The 20,736-nt window shown below is 48.0% G+C and overlaps 1 protein-coding gene across 15 annotated transcripts in view; it reads left to right on the top strand.

The window, feature by feature from the left end:
- Window positions 1-20,437, top strand: part of RFX8 (regulatory factor X8) — a 77,754-nt gene extending 57,317 nt beyond the window's left edge. For 9 of the 15 annotated variants that reach the window (XM_011511771.3, NM_001145664.2, XM_047445739.1 and 6 more), the window contains 7 exons: window positions 112-262; window positions 2,884-2,942; window positions 4,725-4,881; window positions 7,083-7,177; window positions 11,739-11,853; window positions 15,044-15,360; window positions 20,072-20,437. In XM_011511771.3, coding sequence (XP_011510073.1) covers window positions 112-262; window positions 2,884-2,942; window positions 4,725-4,881; window positions 7,083-7,177; window positions 11,739-11,853; window positions 15,044-15,360; window positions 20,072-20,248 — 1,071 coding nt within the window. In that variant the 3' untranslated portion in view covers window positions 20,249-20,437. Of the gene's footprint in view, window positions 1-111; window positions 263-2,883; window positions 2,943-4,724; window positions 4,882-7,082; window positions 7,178-11,738; window positions 11,854-12,486; window positions 12,527-15,043; window positions 15,361-20,071 lie in introns of those variants that run through there. The other 6 variants (NM_001367510.1, NM_001367508.1, NM_001367509.1 and 3 more) reach the window with 4 other exon arrangements.
- Window positions 20,438-20,736: the final 299 nt, after the last annotated feature.

Genomic DNA, 20,736 nt, shown 5'->3' with positions numbered 1-20,736 from the left:
GGGACCCGCTCTCAGACTTCTTGAGACCCGCCCTGTCCCTGTGGCATGCATAAGCTTCAGCCACACCTGCACCATCAGCAGAATCATAGTGTCTTGTTACTTTTGTTGTAGGGAATTGAGGATGTTCTCCTTCATGACTTCTTGGAAGATGTTTCTATTCAGTACCTGAAATCTGTGCAGTTATTTAGTAAGAAATTTAAGCTGTGGCTCCTTAATGCTTTGGAAGGTGTTCCAGCCCTCTTGCAGATCTCCAAACTCAAAGGTAGGTTTCGATGAAAAAAATAAATTCTGGGCTGGCACAGTGGCTCATGCCTGTAATCCCAGCACTTTGGAAGGCCGAGGCAGGAGGATCGCTTGAGGCCAGGAGTTTGAGACCAGCCCGGGCAACATAGTGAGATCCTGTCTCACAAAAAAGTTTTAAAAATTAGCTGAGTGTGGTGGCACACACCTGTGGTCTTAGCTACTCAGAAGGCTGAGGCGGGAAGATCACTTGAGCCCAGGAGGTCAAGGCTACAGTGAGCCATGATCATGTCACTGCACTCCAGCCTGGGTGATGGAGCAAGACCCTGTTTTTAAAGTAAAGAAATACATAAATAAATAAATTCTGTAAGCGTAGATGAAGCATCTGACTTTCACCCTGGGTGGTAGCTTTCAGCTGCTGCCCCATGCACTCAGCTACAGTCCGGAAGGCCCAGCCTGCTCAGGGTTTCTGGCTTTTAGTGCTGGTGATGGATTTTTGTGCTGATCCAGCCACACCCTTTTAAGCTATTTCTCTTTTGAATAATAACATGGACTTTTGGCAGGTCAAGGTGTTCTAGGTGTGGATATTCACCAGGGCATTCTCACACCTGAATTGCACCATCTCTCTGCTGAGTTTCTAGAATGCTTTCCCCTTCTGTCTGGCTGCCAGGCAGCAGTCTCTGAATGCTGCTTCCACCAGGCTATTTATCTGTTCAAGGCCTGCAGTGGCTTCCAAGCGCGAGCCTGAACTGCTCTGTCAGCTGGTCCAGTTCCCTATAAATCTATCCTCTTTGTGTCCCTGCAGCTCCATGCTCCTTCAAAGGCCAGCCTGCACCTGCCATGCCCTGTCGGATCATCCTGGAAATACCCATTTTCTCCCTCTTGCCTTTGTGAAGTTTTGCTATCATTGCCTGCAGCTCTCGAACTCCCTACGGGGTCCCACCCTCCTTGCCAGGTCAGGGTCATTTTGTCACCAAGCTGGCACCAGTTATTTCCCCACATTTCTATGAGTCTTGCTTCCTTTGCAATTATCTCCTAGGTAGTGCAGATAGGGGACTTCTCAAAGTGCCTACAGCATAGGACCATGTCTAATCGCCACTCCTCCCGACCCCACGCCCCCAGCTGTGTTCACTACTAACACTGGGTACCCTGATCCAGTTTGTCCCACTTGGAAATTTTAGGGACGTTGCAGAAGGTGAGACTGGGACTTGCTGCAAAAGCGGTCCAAGGAGTGGGGAGCAGAGCCTCCCTCCAGTTTTCCTGTGCTCCTTTAACATCTGCCCGAATTCAAGCCTCTGTCTCTTCATTCTGTAGGCTACTTCAGCGGTTTCCTAGTTGGTCATCCTTCTTCCACCCCCCTCCCCAGCCACACTCCCTCCACCCCCAGTGATCATTCTAAAGCAGCAATTAATCAATTACCAACCTTCCCTGGCCTCCACTGCCCAGATGGCCCACTCTCCTCCACTGCTGTGCAGTCATTCACAGTTTGGCCTCTGGCCCCATCCCTGTCTCCATCTCCCAAGGGACTCCCATGACCCAACAGTGCTCTTCAGCAACACTAGACAGGCTGTCCCCAGAAAAGGCCCTTATTCCTGCCATTTTCTATGCTTGGACTGCCTCCTGCCCCATTACTCCTGGCTATCTCCTACCTATGCGTCAAAGCCCAGATTAAATGTCACCTTCGCAGTGAAGCTTTCCTCAATACCTTCTTCCAGACAGCCTCCCTTTCTTCCTTGTGCTCGCACATCGCATGGGAGCACTTAGCCTGCTTTTGGGATGTGTTTGCATATCTGGTGACCCACCCTCTGGAGCATGAGCCCTTTGTAGGGAAGGGCTGTCCTCTTCCGTCCATCAGCTCAGCAGCCATCCAGCAAATAGTTATTGAGCAAACACTGCACGAGTGTTCTCCCATATATTTGTCAAATGAATGAATGCGTTCAAGAGGAGAACACCTGTTTCTATGCGTTCCCTTTTCATCCTTTCCTTTCCTTTGATTATTTTCCAAGGAAAGCAGTGTAGGATGAGAAAGTTGGGGTTGTTCCTTTGAGTACTGGTCTTAGTCCAATCTGGCTGCTGTAGTAAAATGCCACCAACTAGGTGGCAGTATATAAACAACTGAAATTTATTGCTTATAGTTCTGGAGGCTGGGAAGTCCAAGATCAAGGCACCAGCAGATGGGTGTCTGGGGAAGGTCTGCTTACTAGTTCACAGATGGCTGTCTTTTTGCTTTGTCTTCACATGGTGAAAGAGGCAAGGGGTCTCTCTGGGGCCTCTAATCCTCTTCATGGGAACTGTACACTCGGGGCCTCATCACCTCCCCAAGGCCCCACTTCCTAACACCATCACAATGGGGGTGAGGTTCAACATATGAAATTTGGGGTGTGGGACACATTCAGATCATAGTAGCACGCATGTCAGATGCTGGGGTTACTTAATTTTTCTGGCACATGAGGACATTTCAGCCAAGCGTCCCCTGCCAGGATCTTCTAGCCACTCAGAGAGGGCCAGCAGACACGGGGGTGGGGGAAGTTGCAGTTTAGCCAGCTGTGCCTTCCTACCCCAAACATGCACCTTCTCTTCCCCACTGCCCACATGAGAACTTGAAGTTATTGTATTAATGGCCACGTGTGTTGTTCTTAACAGAAGTTACTCTATTTGTCAAAAGACTAAGAAGAAAGACGTACCTTTCCAACATGGCTAAGGTAGGCTTCAGCCAAGCAGATAGGAGGGAACAAAGCAGTTTCCTGAAAAGAGGTGAAAGCTCTAAGTCCCTGTTAAGAGTGAGTGGTTGCTCTGTCCATCTGGAGGGCAGAGGGCAGGCAGGGTGGCCTTGCCTGGCCATTGGCAGAGGAGTCCAGGTGGGCCCCCGTGACTCAAAGCTAGAAGCCTGCCCCCTTTCCACCCATCCTCAGGAAGGCTCCAATCTCCTGGCTCTCTCAGGGCAGGAGGGAAGGCAGGTCAACACTTAAAAGATGCCCGATGGCCAGGCGTGGGGGGCTCGTACCTGTAATCGCGGCACTTTGGAAGTCCGAGGCAGGCAGATTACTTGATGTCAGGAGTTCGAGACCAGCCTGGCCAACATGGCAAAACCCTGTCTCTATCAAAAAAAAAAAAATACAAAAACTAGCTGGGCATGGTGGTGTGTGCCTGGAGTCCCAGCTACTCAGGAGACAGGCAGGAGAATCTCTTGAACCTGGGAAGTGGAAGTTGCAGTGAGCTAAGATTGTGCCACTGTACTCCAGCCTGAACAACAAAACGAGACTCCATCTCAAAAAAATAAAAAAATAAAATTAAAAGATGCCAGAGGGAGGCCCCACACAGAGGTGCCAGTGTCAGAGGTAACAGGGCGTCATAGCAGAGCCTATGACAGACAGACAGACACACCCTTCACCCGTGTGTGGGGCCCTGTGGACTCAGTGTGGCCAGGCCACCAGTTACTTCAGCTCTGACCTTTTCAATCCTGGGGTGATTTAGAGAAAGGTTGAGAAGGGCTGAAGAAAAGATTCTATGATGCTGGCACCCGGCTCGTGGGCTACCAGGAGTCCTCTCTCAAGTCCTGTGAGCACCCTATTGGGATAGAGCCTGGGGACCATCACTGTGCTCCAAATCAGTCTCCACTGGGAGGATCCCAACTGTGGCTTCCATGACCCCGAGCTGGGCCCCATCCTCCCAGTGCAGAGCCCTCCCCAGAATCTGAGCTCAGCGGGGTTGTGTCCCACTGTCAGTCACAGCCAGTCCTGTTCTCCAGGGCTCTCACAGTCCTGACTCGGTCAGTCTGGAAATGACCTGGCAGTGTGCTCTTCCTCTCAACACAACCAGAGCAGTAAGCATGGGTTCTGAAGCCTGCCCCTGCTCTGAGCCTTATCTTCCCACTTACTGCCCCTCAGGAAAGTTACTTCACGCCCCAAGAGCCCTCTGTGTCCTCTGTAAAAGGGAGGGGTAACTCGTGCCTTCTCCCAGGACTGCTGTGAGGACAACCAGGTGCATCCCAGGCAGTCGGACAGTGTTGGGGACTAGATAGTCCCCATTTGACAGCTGAGGATATCACCTCCCAGAGGCCAAATTCCTCATGGCCAAGGCTCCCACGAGGAAGGGACAGCCAGCTTCCGAATCCCGCAGCCGCTCCCTCAGGATCGGTGCAGGCTCTACCTACACCTTCCTTGCAGAGGCTCAATCCCCGGGATCCCTCGCTAGAGTCATTTGGGCGTGGGGCGATTGTGGTGCAGAGAAGCAGCAGCAGCAGTGCCAGACAGCCCTGAACGCATCTTCCTAGAGATGCGTTCTTTCTCCTTCCAGAAGGGCAGTTCCAGAATGTGTGCAATTTTAACCTTTTCATTCTTGTTTAAGATTCATTTTTAATGGGTAATATCCACATCAATGTTTCTTTCTCCCCCACAACAAAAATCTTGGCAATTTGGGGGAGAGTTAGGCAAAAATAAAATGACCAGATTGAATTAAGTATTATGCCTCCCTGTTATCTTTAGACTATGCGAATGGTATTGAAAAGTAAGAGGCGTGTCAGCGTTTTGAAGTCAGATCTACAGGCCATCATCAATCAAGGCACTTTGGCTACTTCTAAGAAAGCCCTGGCAAGTGACCGGAGTGGCGCAGATGAACTGGAGAACAACCCAGAGATGAAATGTAATCTTCCTTCTGCAGCTTGCTTTATTGGCGTGTTGGGCATAGATTTGGGGCTAGCATGGCCATCGTTAACTCATGAATTTCTTAATAGGGGTAGAACTTTATAACTCCGATGTTCTAAGTTGTCTGCTCACACTTCTCTTCCTGTAGTGGGGTGATGAACACCCCAGGGGACGCCCTGTCCCTGTGCTCCCAGGACCTACCCCAGGGCCAGACAGGGCAGCAGTGCTGATACCTGTTAGTTGAGTCCATAAACGATCAGATGAGTGTGCTTGCTGCTTGACAGTATTTATCTCCAGAATATCTCCTGTGGGGGAAAAGCTTAGTTTCTGCATCTGTGTTGTACACACACAGACTCCTGTGTCTCCTCAATCATGCTAAACTGCCTTGAGCTAGATGTCTGCGTCGACACATTCTCCCATCACTCTTGTTACTTGCAATGTGAAGTTTAACAATGGTGCTTTTACCATATTTCATTACTTTCCAAACAAGTGACAGGAAGCAGGTGGATATTCTTGCCATTTGCTATTGATCATTGTCATTGTTTTTCAAGAAAAAAATCCCCCTTCCATAAAGAGCTTGCGTTGCTGGCTGGTGTGTGTTGTTGCGTCCTTGGGGAGCGAACATAGTGGCAGCAGGAGCTCTCCAGACTCAGGGAGGACCTGGGAGGCAGGAAGCTGCAGGATGGTTACCGATTATGAATTATGGGCATCTCTAGGCCCTCCTATGATGGCTACAGGGAGGGTGCCAGGCTCCCCTGTGTGTGTCCTTTCCAAACACTCGCTGCCAAGATGCCCCAGGTAAGTCGAATGGCCTCTCCCTCTATGGGCATAACTCCTTGGTAGTACTCTCAGCTGTGTCTACAGCTGCCCGCTCAGTTCCTATGAACCCCTTCAGGCTATCAACTGTGTCTTATTCACCCTGGGCCACCCAGCATTGCACTGGCCCACAGGAGCACTTCAGTGTTTCGTGACTTGACGGATACAGAATTCAGGAGTACACAAAAGCACCACCTGTAAATTAGCCCATCCTCTTTCTTTCACCCTGAAGTAGGGCTGGCCTTGGTAGGGTTGTGCCAGTTATTAAAATACTAAAATATATCCCTAGTTGTTGGTAAATGACCTCTGCTCCCCTCTACTGTCCTGTCCCTTGATAGTGTCCCTTGGCTGACCCCAATTCCAGATCCTCCCATAGGGCACTTTTTTTTCCCACCAATCCAGCAACTAAAAGGTTAACACCTAATCTGGCAGGCTTCAGAACTATTAGTAGGATTACTAATTCTGATTAGTAATTCTGCAGTTCTGACTAGTAGGAACCCAAAAGGTCCCCTTCCCAACACTCTGGCTAACCAAAACCTCCTCTTGCCCCCAGCTGGATCACAGGGAGTCCCAGGAGGGCATGAGACACCCCCTCCCCCGCCCGGTGCCTTCCAGACTGCCCACTGGTCTGGCCAGGGCTCCTGTGCTCCTACTGGCATCTTTGTGAGTCCCAACAGGAAGATGCAGAGTTCTGCAGGGAGATAGCAGACTGCCAGCCACTGCTGATACCTGCAGGCAAATGATTCCAGTTCCAAGTCCAAGCGCACCTCCACCAAGCCTCAGAGGGGCCACTGCAACCGACTCAGTTTTCCAAACTCTGCTTGGTATGCAGAAGCACTCAAAAAGCTGGGAAGGCCAAAGGCTGTTCTTTCCCTGTCAGTGCTACCTGTGCAGGTGGAGGACCCAGAATCTGATGTCACACCAGGCTCCACCTAACTGAGTGCATAACCGCAGGCAAGGCGCTCACCCTCTCTCAGCAGCTTTGACGTATGTCTGCCATCACTTCAATGACATTAATAAACCAGCCCTTTGATGAAGATGGCAAGGATAGGTGAGGTCATGTCTGTATCGTGCAATGAGCTCATCTGAAGACAAGGTCTGGATAATTGCAAGGTGTAGTTATGGTTTCAAAATATTTCTGTTTCAACAAGTGGCAGAGGTGGCTCACAACAGGTATGTCCATGTAATTCTGAATAGATGACCGCAGAAGTGACAAAGCCAGCCTCAGGACATCCTCTGTGTTCACAATGAGCATGAGGCCCTGGGGAGTCCCTTCGAGCTATTGTTCAGTGATGTTTCCAGGTTACCCAGTACACAAATACCTAAGAGAAATTCTGCTCTGCTGCATGCAATCTTTTGTTTGTTTATTTTGTGTCTTTGTAGGTTTAAGAAACTTAATTTCTTTGCTGGGAACATCAACAGATCTCAGGGTATTCCTCAGCTGTCTGTCTTCACATCTCCAAGCATTTGTGTTCCAGGTAGGAAGCTGTGACTTAAAAAAAAAAAAAGTGTGTTGACCATTCTAGATAAATGAGTGCCCATTGCCTAAGGGATGGGAAAGAGGCTTCTTAGGCTCTGGTCGGAAATGTGTCAAAGCTGGCCTGGGTGTGAGGGCAGGGGATGGCCTCGAACTCTGTAGCAGGTGGAGAATGGGGGTCTGGTGGAGCACATCACATAAGTGTGTGTGTGTGTGTGTGTGTGTGTGAGTGTGGGCATATGTTTGGGTGTGTGGGAGTGTGTGTGGAGGGGCGAGCCTGTGATGAGCATGTGTGTCAGGGTGTGTGTGAGCATGTGTGTATGTGAGTGTGGTGAGCGTGGTGTACAGGTGAGTGGGTGTGCATGAGCGTGTGCAGTATGTATGTGTGGGTGAGCATGCATGGATGAGTGTGTGTACAGGTGAGCATGTGTGTGACAGTGTGTGTGAGCATGTGTGTAAGTGGGTGTGGGTGACTGCGTCTGCAGGTGTGTATTGCAGCAAAGGGAGTGTGGAAAAGGAGGAGGGGTTTTGTCTATTTCAGGGGGAGAGCAGCCCATGTTTTGCAGACATGTTCCAGTAAAATGTCTGGCTTGATTTCAAAAGCCCAAAGATGGTTTCGTTGTCGATATGGGCAGGTTTGATCCTTTCGACCAATGTGGCTCTTGGGAGTTGCTTCAGTGGGATCCTGGGCTTGATTTTCATCATCCTCCATGGGGGCAGTGGAGAGCTGAGAATGCCTTGAGAGAGGCCACGGCCCTTCACTCCATGGGCTCAGGGCAGGTGGGGAGAGCTAGGGGCTGCAGGTTAAAACCTACAGGGAGGCCAGGCACGGTGGCTCATGCCTATAATTCCAGCACTTTGGGAGGCCCAGGCAGGAGGATCACATGAGGTCAGGAGTTCAAGACCAGCCTGTCCAACATAGTGAAACCCTGTCTCTCCTAAAAATACAAAAATTAGCTGGGCATGGTGGCACGCACCTGTAATCCCAGCTACTCGGGAGGTTGAGGCAGGAGAATCGCTTGAACCCAGCAGGCGGAGGTTGCAGTGAGCTGAGAGCCACTGCACTCCAGCCTGGGCAACAAAAGACTCCGTCTGGCCGGGCATGGTGGCTCACTCCTGTAATCCCAGCACTTTGGGTGGCCGAGGCAGGCAGATCACAAGGTCAGGAGATGGAGACCATTCTGGCTAACACGGTGAAACCCCGTCTCTACTAAAAAAAATACAAAAAAATTAGCTGGGCGTGATGTCATGCGCCTGTAGTCCCAGCTACTCGGGAGGCTGAGGCACGAGAATCACTTGAACCTGGGAACTGGAGGTTGCAGTGAGCTGAGATCACACCACTGCACTCCAGCCTGGGCGGCAGAGCAACACTCTGTCTCAAAAAACAAACAAACAAACAAACAAAAACACCTAGAGGGAAATGAGGCAGCCCGGGCCCCACCTCTTGAGACTTTGTGCTTGCCAAGGCTGAAGTGGTTGTGAAGGGCTTTGAAGAGAAGGTGGGACTTAAAACTGGGATATGAAGCATGTGCAGGATTAAAATAAGCTGAGAGAGGGGGATCGGGCATTCAAGAGCAGGAGTGAGTTTACCCAGGAAGGAAGGAGCAGTCCACACTGGTGGAGAGAGCAAAGACTCCGAGGGCCTGGGGCTGGAAGCGTGGCTCTGGGCTTTCTCTTTAAGCTTCTGGCCGTGTTGTGGCCACTCCCTTGTGCCACCTGCCTGGCCTTGTCTGTATCCCTGAACTCTCAGTTGAGAAGAAAGAGGAGAAATAATCACTGAGACCAAGAAGACTGCAGGGGACTTTGGGATCTTCAACCTCCTAGACATGAACCAGAAAAATCCTCAGGAAGGAGCTGGAAAGCCAGTTCCAACCCTTGGCAGGTGCCTGGTCTCATTTGCTTCTTGAAAATAATTATCCCAGATTCTGTATGGTTTTTATTCCTCCTGTTGATCTTAGGCAAAGCTTATTTTTAACAGCAGTGACCATGTCCAGAGCTGGATGGCTACTGAGACATTTATTCATTTGCTAGCTGAAGGCTTATATTATACATCCTCACAGACAGGCGCTGTCCATTGTCTGTTCGTTAAGTGGAAACTGGAACTCAGCCTCCAGCGTTTTTTTTGTTTTTTTTTTTTGAGACGGAGTCTCGCTGTCGCCCAGGCTGGAGTGCAGTGGCGCGATCTCGGCTCACTGCAGGCTCCGCCCCCAGGGTTCACGCCATTCTCCTGCCTCAGCCTCCCGAGTAGCTGAGACTACAGGTGCCCGCCACCTCGCCCAGCTAATTTTTTGTATTTTTAGTAGAGACGGGGTTTCACCGTGTTAGCCAGGATGGTCTCCATCTCCTGACCTCGTGATCCGCCCGCCTCAGCCTCCCAAAGTGCTGGGATTACAGGCGTGAGCCACCGCGCCCGGCCAGCCTCCAGCTTTAATCAGATGAACCCACTGAGATCATCACTACCAACCCTGTCGTCCTACATTGTAAACCACAGAGCGCTATGTGTTTCCCAAGTCTCCATCGTTGTGCCTTCAGCCCTCACAAAGGAGGCAAATTAGAAAAATGGTGTTTTTGTAACTGCGTGCCTTTGAAGGACTTGTTTTTGTAAAATAGCTTGGCTGATCTTTACAAAACCAGATTATTGTCAATCAAGTGCTCAGACTATTAAGATGCACACCTTTGGGCTTGTCAGAGATGCCCCATGGCTTCAGTTAGCATCTGGCAGTCAGCGAGCAGAGGGCAGTTCGGGCCCTGGAGGAGCTTCTACGTTGGGGGACATGAAGTGCCACACTGTGGACGTGACGGGAAGAAAGCTCAATGGTGTTCATGGCTGACTTTCAAACATTTGTGCAGAGAAAGCCCTGGTCACTCAGAGCTGCATCCCTCGATGCTTTTAGGAAGTATCCCTGTGTTTTGTTTTTTTTTTTAATTGAGATGGAGTCTTGCTCTGTCACCCAGGCTGGAGTGCAGCGGCGCAATCTCAGCTCACTGCAACCTCCGCCTCCCAGGTTCAAGCGATTCTCCTGCCTCAGCCTCCGGAGTAGCTGGGATTACAGGCGTGTGCCACCCTGCCCAGCTAATTTTTGTATTTTTAGTAAAGACGGGGTTTTGCCATGTTGGCCAGGCTGGTCTCGAACTCCTGACCTCAAATGATCCACCTGCGTCTGCCTCTCAAAGTGCTGGGATTATAGGCGTGAGCCACCGTGCCCAGCAGGATCCCTGTGCTTTTGTACTCTCATTGTCCCTTCAACATAAAACCCTCTGCTGAACACTGATGGGAAGAGCTCCTCCCAAGAGTCCATCTCAGATGGTGAGGAGCACTGAGGAGGAGGATGCTACTGAAAGGACCTCACGTCCCCTGAAGCTCAGGGCCACCTTCTGGTGTGCCAAGGATTTCACTGGGGCAGAAGGGAAAAGAAGCAATGACAAGAAAGGGCATTCTTTGTTTGTAGCCAAGTTCTCTATTTCTTCCTCAAAGACATGTGGTGGAGCTGTGGTGGGTCCACAGGCATGTGACTGAGGATGAGAAGAGGCTTGGAGCATGCATATCAACAGATGCATTTGAAATCCATGACTCATGGCTTACAGATGGCTTCAAGTGTGGCCCAAGGCTGCTCTCTGTCTGGGTAGAGGGAATCTCTTAGTCTGCATGCAGCAGCATCTTATTGGTACACAGTTTAGTGCCAATGAGGCTGTCAGATGACCTTGGTTCCACTGGGTTTAGGGGCTGGGACTTTGCAGTTTGGAGCTTGGTTACACAGCAAGCATGACGACCAGCTTTTCCAAATAGGCACCACTGCTTTTCATTATTATGGGATTCTGTGCCCCTTTTCCACAATCAGATTTGACATGCAGAAGTGCAGGAATAAAACAGCCCCTGCCCCTCTTGATGGCCATTCCAAAGTGGACTTCAATGAGGCTGTCCCTACGGTGTTTCTGTGTCACACATCACAAGTGACCTCTTTTTTAAAAACTGTGTGGTGCTGGGCATGGTGGCTTATGCCTCTAATCCCAGTGCCTTTGGGAGGCCGAGACAGGAGGATCACTTGAGCCTAGAAGTTAAGGCCAGCTTGAGCAACATAGTGAGACCCTTATCTCTACCCACCCTCCCCCCCAAAATTAAATTAGTCATGTGCAGTGGTGCATGCCTGTAGTCCCAGCTACTCAGGAGGCTGAGATGGGAAGATCGCTTAAGCCCAGGAGTTCAAGGCTGCAGTGGGCCAAGATCGTGCCACTGCACTCCAGCCTGGGGAACAGGAAGACCATGTCTCAAAAAAAAAAAATTTGCTTTTTTTTTATTTTAAGAGAAAAAGTGAGCCAATTTCCTACCTCCCTCCTTCTCTCCACCAACTTTAAAGGGCTCTGCCCTGGAACCGTCTCCATGGAAGACAGAGAAAGACCAGACATTTGCCCCGCTGCCTCAGTTCCCGCTTTTGTTATTTCATCTTCCTCTTCTTTGGCTCTTTAAAAATGCGTGTGCATGACAAATGTGTGCATTTGAAAACATACTATGCTTCTTGATTTTATTACAAACTGCAGCCTTTTTTCTCACAAAAACTTAACAGACAAGCAGAAGCAAAGAAGAGTTTACCAAATTGGCCGCCAGCTTCCAGCTGAGATGGAATCTTCTTCTCACTGCTGTAAGCAAAGCCATGACCCTCTGCCACAGAGATAGTTTTGGTAAGTCAGAGAATAAGAAAGTATTTTGTATTCTACCTTTTAAAAATGTCATTATGGCATAAGTATTTTGCGTATTGCTATGTAGAATCCAGCCGTCTTCTTTTAACCTTTCTATGTAAAATATAACATAGATACAGCAAACCATACAACACGATAGTAATTTTTATTTTTAGTGTCAGTGTGATAGTCTGTCAAACAGATGGACCATGCTTTTCCTTCCTGTTTCATCATCGTTAGACACACTCTCCTTGTTCTTGAATTATGAGCTTTGTGACATTTAGAGAAAAGCACCGAGAGAGACAACTGAGATGGAGAACAAAATGGGTTCTTTGAAGCACTCATACTTAACTCTCAGGAATAATGATTAAGTTGCCATTGTATGCGATGGTAGAGAGAGTGAAGTAATGTTCATTTTGCAAACTTCCTGGTCAAATCACTTCCTCTGTTGGGGAAGGTCACATCTTTGATGCAATTGCCTTATAAAAAGGGTTGTAGGGGTTGGGTGCTGTGGCTCACACCTGTAATCCCAGCACTTTGGGAGGTTGGGGCAGATGGATCACCTGAGGTCAGGAGTTCGAGACCAGCCTGACCAACATGGTGAAACCCTGTCTCTACTAAAAATACAAAAATTAGCCGGGCGCGGTGGCGGACGCTTGTAATCCCAGCAACTCAGGAGCTTGAGGCAGGAGAATCACTTGAACCTGGGAGGCAGAAGTTGTGGCGAGCTGAGATTGCACCAACGCACTCCAGCCTGGGTGACAAGAACGAAACTTCACCTCAAGAAAAAAAAAAAAAGGATTATAGGAAGGGAAGTTCACCACTCAGCCCACCAGCTTCATGGAATGGATCATTCCTTCAAAAGGTATTTCTTGTTTCCCAGGCACCTTCCTGGGCACTGGGCATACAGCAGTGGAAAGATAAAGTCTCCACTCCTGTGAGTTTGCACAGTAGTTATGGCAAGTGATCCCTGCATAGAGAGCTGCCAGATACTCTCACAGCAAGAAGGAAGAGAAAGCAAGCCCTATTCTAGACCAGCTTTGCAGACACCCTGGAGCTCCTGAGGGCTGCTGCTATCAGCTGCCATATAGGTGACACTCACTTATAGTGGGACTCTTCCCTTCACTGAAGTCCAAACTGACTCTGCTTTATGCTCCTGCTCTTTCAGAGCAGAGAGACAGCAGAGTTCACATGCATCATGGGAAGAAATCTAGCCCTGAGCCGGGTGTGGTGGCTCACACCTGTAATCCCAGCAGTTTGGGAGACTGAGGGACACAGATCTCTTGAGCCTGGGAGTTTAAGGCCAGCCTGGGCAATATGGTGAAACCCTGTCACTACGAAAAAAAAAAAAAATTAGCCAGGTGTGGTGGCCCAGTAGTTCCAGCTACTTGGGAGGCTGAGGTGGGAGGATTGCTTGAGCCAGGGAGGCAGAGGTTGCAGTGAGCTGAGATTGTGCCACTGCACTCCAGCCTGGGCAACAGAGCCAGACTCTGTCTCAAAAAAAGAAAAGAAATCTAGTCTGTAGTTGTTACTTTTCCCAGTCTACCTTCTCTGTACCTCCATATGAAATCAATGTATTCACACCAGTAGTTTGAACAATGGTTTCAGGACTTGGACTATGATTTTTCAAGGTTAAATAGGAAAGACGATGTTGTCAGGCTCACTTCAGGCAAGGTCATGCCTTCCACGGGGGCAATGATCTCTCACCCAGATCCGTGGAGGAATAGAACACTACTCAGGGAAAAAACTGTGAAGGGCTTTTGAAATGGATGAAAAGATTACTTGAAATGGACAAAAGGCTTTGAAATGGACAAAAGGTTGGCACAGCCTTCTGGGTTATCTCTACCTTCCATTGTCTTTGAGTTATTTTTACAGCCCTGTAAGTTGCAGCAAACTGATAATGCAGATGACCCTCATCCACAGAAATACAAGCTAGTTGTGTCAGGTGGTTGTGATTGATACTACCCTGAGGACAGATCCCTTTTGCATCTATTTGTCACTGTCAGCATTATTTTCTGTCTATAGTATATAGTTAGTACTTTGAATTCTCTTTTGAACCAGTGGCAACATCTTACTGATGTAGCAATAAGATGTAATACATCATTTAATTAATGAGTTAAATAAAACCTTTGATATGTCCTTTTTTCTTTTTTCTTCTTGAGATGGAGTCTCGCTCTGTCACCCAGGCTGGAATGCAATGGTGCGATCTTGGCTCATTGCAACCTCCGCCTCCTGGGTTCAAGCGATTCTCCCGCCTCAGTCTCCCGAGTAGCTGGGACTACAGGCACGTGCCACCCTGCCCGGCTAATTTTTTGTATTTTTTAGTGAAGACAAGGTTTCGCCTTGTTAGCTGGGATGGTCTCGATCTCCTGACTTCGTGATCTGCCCGCCTCGGCCTCCAAAAGTGCTGGGATTACAGGCGTGAGCCGCTGTGCCCAGCCTGATGTGTCCATTTTATATCTGTATAAGAGTCATGGTTTTACCTTTATTTAAAACTTATCTTTTAACAATTGCAATAGGCCAGATTTCCCCCTCTGTTTCTCAAGCAAACATTAATGATTGTTTTCCTTTCTGGGAGCACAAAGGCCTTGGGATTTGGAGCATTCAGCTAAGTCACATACCCTCCTGTCTCTGATGACAGCACTTGCAGGCCCACCTGAGAAGACGCCTCTCACAGGTGGAATGCCAGCTGGCCTCCTTACCCACTTCCCACACAAAGAGCTGCAGCCACAGGGTCTGCAAGAGGGGCAAGGCGCTACGTTTCAAACACCACAAAACAGCAGCAGGGTTCCCTCTGCACACTGCCCCCGTTTCCTCCCACCCCTTCTGGACATTCCTGTGGATCATACATGGGGCACGATGAGGTTGAGGGGTACCCTCTCCAGCTCTGGGAGCAGCACCCAGTTCCCTGTAGGGTTTGCTTTTCTCCCATCTCACACCGGATGGATTTTAAGTTCCTTTTCATGACTTAGGCTATTTAGCTCTTGGTCCTTTCTGTCCAAAAGCTGCCCTGCCAGGGGTTTTCTACTGATGGATGCTACGTAAGAGGCCGACCCAGGCCTCTTCTGGGTAAGCTATTGGAACGAGGCTCACGTACACAGGTGTTAGCCCCAGAAAAGTTGTTAGTTTCACAATGATTTGTTTATTGTCTGTCGATCAAATGTATTCATTTTTGGTTATTATCTAAATGTAGGCTCCTGGCATCTGTTTCACTTGTTGCTTTTGGAATATATGATTCATATACTTCAGTCATGCCTAGAGGAGGAAGAGGAGGAGGAGGACATGGGGACTGTCAAGGAAATGCTACCAGATGACCCGACTCTCGGCCAGCCAGACCAGGCACTTTTCCATTCTCTGAATTCCTCACTGTCGCAGGCGTGTGCCAGCCCCAGCATGGAGCCACTGGGGGTGATGCCCACACACATGGGCCAGGGCCGATATCCCGTGGGTGTGAGCAACATGGTCCTCAGGATCCTGGGCTTCCTGGTGGACACTGCCATGGGCAATAAGGTAGGGACACCAGGACCCCCTTCCACACAGCTGTTTCAAGGGGAATAAGAGCCACAGGTGATTAGTAAAACCCTCAAGATCACTTTGTCCAAACAATGATAAACGATTCTACAGTCATCTTTACCCTAGGTGATTTTGCCAGGGGTGAGTTTAATTCACTATCTGTTGATTACTGGTCAGCTCAGGTTTGTGGGACATTGATAGATGCCTGGCATGATTAGAAGTGTGACCATCTGATGGCCTGGGTATTTCTTGCCTTCCCAGAGTGTGCCTGGCCTGGTTAGACTAACTCAGCAGTAGCACACCACTAACGTCTGAGTGGCATGCACTGAAAATTCCCCTAGTGTTCAAAGACGGAAACGTCGAATAGTCTGAACAGAGGATTTTGAAAAGATTACATTGGGATACCTGTTGAAAGATACAAAAATTAGAGTTACTATTTACCTAACACCTACTATATAGCCCTTATGTATGTTATCTCGAAGCCATGCCATCCTATAGAATATTTGTTCTTGTCATTGTCATTTGATGGATGAGGAAACTGAGGCTCACAGAAGCTGAGTGACTTGCACAAAGTCACACAGCAAGGAAATGCGAGGAAATAGTGGAACAGAGATTGGAGCCCCAGCCTGCCTGATCTCAAGTCCATTCTTCACCTACAACCCTAGACAGGAGGTTGTTTTATGCCCTGAGGAGTGCAGGACGCAGGTTGTAGAGGTCGGACATGGACCTCAGTACCATGAAGCAGAGCTGGACTGATGGAGGAACAACTGAAATGCCTCCATTGAGGAGTGGGGAGTGGGCTGGTTAAAAAAAACTGACAGCGATTGTCTTAGGGCTAATTTCTCTGCACATATTTGATGTTTAGCCGCTATCCGCCTTCTTCTTTTTGTGCCCACAAGTTCCCCCTCTCGCACAGATGAGTTGTGCTTAGTAGGAAATTGAGGCAGGTGCGATCATTCAACCTGAAGCAAGTTGTGGCAGTGAGTCACAGCCTAAAACTCTTCATGCCTTAGAGTCCGCAGAATAACAGGAACCTTCCAGGGCCCTTTCCTTCTTGAGCAGACTCTCATTGCGAGTTCTCCGATTGCAGAGATCCTGCACACCTGTTACTGAGCAATGCTTGGACAAGACACCTCCCTAGACCAAAAAAACAAAACAAAACAAAACAAAACAGGAGCCGGGGAAATGCATCTCTCAGGTTTACCAGTTCTCTATCTGTATTTGGTCTTTGTTTCTCACTTTGAGATAGTAAGTCACGTATCCAGCTGCATTCGGTGCTCTCTGTGAGGTAGATTCCAACGTTTGTCTGTAAATGAGAAACTCACCTCCTCCACGAGTGTCCATGTGAAAAAAGCAGACATGGTCGATGAAGGATGCAGCAGCGAAACACTGACCCCAACTTGGGGGTGCTGATGAGAGCTGGGCCTCCTTAGCTGGCAGCAGCTAAGGCGCTTTCAGGAAGCAGGTGTTTCCAGACAGTTGGCAGAAAGAAGGCCCAGTTAGATCTGAAGAGGCGATGGCTTGGCTAGGCTATACCTAGGAGGATGGCTCTCCCTGCTGCTGTACCTGGCGGCAGAGCCCTCCAAGGGCCACCAGTGGAAAGCGCCTGAGTGTACTCTGGAGCATTCTGTAGAGCCCTAGCAGGGCCAGCATTCATGCTGGGCTGCAGTGTTCAGCTCCAAGTGAAAGCAAATTCTTTGCGCTCACCGGCTGGAGCAAGAGGTCGGAGTGTAGCATGACAACTTGTGAAAGGAAAAACAAAAACATCTTGCAGTGACACTCGTTAAAGCACCGTAAGGGAGGCTTTATCTGTAAGGAAGGCTTTATTCAGTACCATCTCCACAGGGCTTTTGCAACCGGGGAGGGAGATTGGGCTTAACTCTGAGTACAGAAGGGACAGGGTGGCGGGTGCAGAATTTATAGCCTAGGAGCCAGGTGGGGGTCAATGGATGGGAATTTACTAAGAAGAAATGTCAGAGGTAAGGGGGATTCTGCTGAACCCACCTAAGAGGATTCTTGTAGAAGTCCAGCCAGCTGGGGTGACCAGACATCACCTGGAGGCTGGCAGAGGATGAGGAAACTGATCACATATGGAGATGGGGCATTCTCGCTAAAGTGACTCAGCAGGGTTCTTGCTAAAACTGGATTTTATAAGGAAGTGGGCGAAGGAGAAGGTTCAGGAGCCAGACTAAAGTTCAGCCAAGCGGAGAATGTTAGTCAAATTATATACACATGCTTCCTAGTCAGCAAGGTAACCAGGAGTAAGCTTTTACGTCTTCAGCCACAGTTAGAAGGCGTGAAGAGCAGACGCTGACAGTCTCCCGGAGCTGAGCGTTTAAATGCATCTTTTCATCTCAATGAAATAGGTGTTATCATCAACCTCATTTTACAGCTGGCATAACTGAGGATCTTGAAGGGGTTGGGTAATTTTCCCAAGGTCACCTCACTAATCAGTGGGAGAACAGGAATTTACACCTCCACAGATCCTTCCAAGACTGTCCTTCTCAGCATTCTCTCTCTCCCCAACAGTGTTTTCTACCATCTGCTTTAATTCCAAAATTGGTCTCTTGGGACTAATTACTAAAAATACCTTCAAATCTGATAAGGGCAATCCTGGTACATACATTTCTGGGTTCAAATTCTACTTCTTCCCCTTATTAGATAGAACACTGGACAAATTGCTTAACTTATGGGGATACTCATGTCTAATTCTACAGGAACATTATGAGGTTTAAATGAGTTAATTGTTGTAAAATGCTTAGACTATTTCCTAGAATGTAGTAAGTACCCAATAACCACTGGTCATCGTTATTATTTCTCCACCACGGCCTCCTAAGCTGAGCACTTCCTCTTAACACTGTTGGCCCAATCCCTTAGCTCCTCTGAAGTTCCTTGCAAAGAGGTTTGACCTATATTTAATGGTTGGAAACAATAGAGAAGATATTACATACTTAATTGAACTACAGAATAAAGCAATACAAGCAGACAAATGTCAGGTAATCCAAGGTAATACACATTAGAGATTAATTAAACCTGCTTCTGTTCATTCATGCCTGCTGAATTAGCTATAATGACTTAAACAATCACACCAAAAAGTTACGCTCATCTGATTTTCATTGCATCCATTATTCAGCACTTGCACTCATCATCAACAAAAAAGCACACCCTGCATGTCCCATCTGCATTCATCTGCCACCGTTTAACACCCATTCAGCTGCACAGCTGTGGCAGCCTCATTCCCTGAACAATTTAGCGCTGGCCTGCACCTCCGGTAACAACTGAAGTCAGCATTCCGGATTGCCATACCCATCTGTCCCTCTTCTACATTCTAGCGGCGTTCAAAATAGTCAGATGCCAAGGCGTGTTTAAGAACAAAGTGAAAAACTATACTGATATTAAATAACGAATTTAGGTCATGTACTCCAGGATTACAGCAGAGCAAAACAAATTTTTTTAAGTGTCTCTTCACCTCTAAGATAAAGGTGAAAACAATTTTTTGAAAAAGAAGAAAAACACCTTTTCACTGGGTGGTGATGGTTTTTGTCGAATTTAGAGAAAGAGTGAGACATGCTTTCATGAACCTTGCATTTGAAGTTATGGTGCACACATCTCTGTCAAAGTATACTAGCTTATAGGAGGTTTATTGATGAAATCAGACCAAGTGAATACATTTCTATTGGTTTTAAAGTAGTCATGACCAAGTTTCCTGGAGCTAAGGGAGGGATGGTACATTCGCCTTTCTCTGATAGGAAGACTTGCTCGTCAGGTGAAGTGGCTGAGGAGAGCTTCAGCTAACTTAGAACCTCCCCACCTCTCGAATCTGTTACTTCCCAATTGAGTCACCAATACCAGATTGCTGTTTTCATAGGTTTTTTCCCCCATTTAGTGGTTTATTTGACGGATGGGGGAAGGAGAGCCTGTGTGGGAATTTGAACTGACTATGTCAGCTCCAGAGACTTGTTGAGAATGTGGGGATTAGTACCCGTCTGGAGACTCCCAAATTGATGGGGGGTCTCCAGCTACATGGAGACCGTGGGTGCCTTTCACAGGCTCCCTCCCGACTTTCATGACTCATCTTCTTTCTCCAGTGTCTGTTAAGGAAGAGTGTTGGTTTGCTCTCACGAGGACATTTCTCACAAACTGCCTTTCCCTAAAGAGAGCCCATCAGCTCCCCGCCCCTGCACCATCCCTGCCTTGCAAAGCCTCCCACTGAGTCCTCACTGGACCCTGAGTGTTTTCCTGAGAAATCAGGAGTTCTCTTAGAATAAATGCATGGGCTGGGTGCTGTGGCTCACGCCTGTAATCTCAGCACTTTGGGAGGCTGAGGCAGGTGGATCACCTGAGGTCAGGAGTTCGAAACCAGCCTGGCCAACGTAGTGAAACCCTGTCTCTACTAAAAATACAAAATTAGCTGGGCATGGTGGCACATGCCTGTAATCCCAGCAACTTGGGAGGCTGAGGCAGGAGAATCGCTTGAACCCAGGAGGCGGAGGTTGCAGTGAGCTGAGATGGCGCCATGGCACTCCAGCCTGGGTAACAAGAGTGGAACTCCGTCTCAAAAAAAAAAAGGAATAAATGCATGAACTTCTCCTTTACATCCCAGGGTGGGAGCACGGGCTTGGTAGAAGAATTCAAATGGTAGTTCCTGCAACAAGGAATAGTATCTGTCTCTTTTTATCTTTTCCCTTAAAACATTTCCCTCTTGCAGCTCATCCAGGTGCTGTTGGAAGATGAAACCACTGAAAGCGCAGTTAAACTCAGCCTTCCTATGGGACAAGAAGCCCTCATAACCCTAAAAGATGGACAACAATTTGTGATTCAGATATCAGATGTACCCCAAAGCTCTGAAGATATTTATTTCAGAGAAAACAATGCTAATGTGTGAGATTATTTATTTGAATAGAGAATAAGAAAACTGATAGACTTGCATTCTTAAAAATATTAAATACTAAAGTTTTTCTATTGACGAAAGATGATGTTATGTATATAATAGATGTAGCATTGTCTATTTTATGTTTATATGTATTTCAAGGAGGTGGTTTCGATAAAATATGTAAACTGATTTGGAGAATAATTTTTGCCTCTGTTGCTTTTCTTTTGGGGCTGTCTGAGTATTTCTATTTTGAGACATGGCAGAAAAGAAATTTGAGAATGCTTTTTGGGAGTAAATAAATGGTTAAGGCTCCAGAGAAAGAAAAAGTTCAAAGAATACCAACTGGTGCAAGCAGTAAAATGCCAGTGGTAATATTTTTCCTCCCCTTGGTGGTGCCTCAATCGAAATAGAATTTGTAGATAGATCCCCTCAGGCAGTGAGGAACAGAAAAAAAATCAATATGATATCACTGTTAAACTCATTCACTGGTCCATTAAACA

This window comes from Homo sapiens, chromosome 2 (assembly GCF_000001405.40).
Source record: "Homo sapiens chromosome 2, GRCh38.p14 Primary Assembly".
NCBI classification, from domain to species: Eukaryota; Metazoa; Chordata; class Mammalia; order Primates; family Hominidae; genus Homo; species Homo sapiens.
This window is presented reverse-complemented; position numbering and strand designations above follow the sequence as displayed.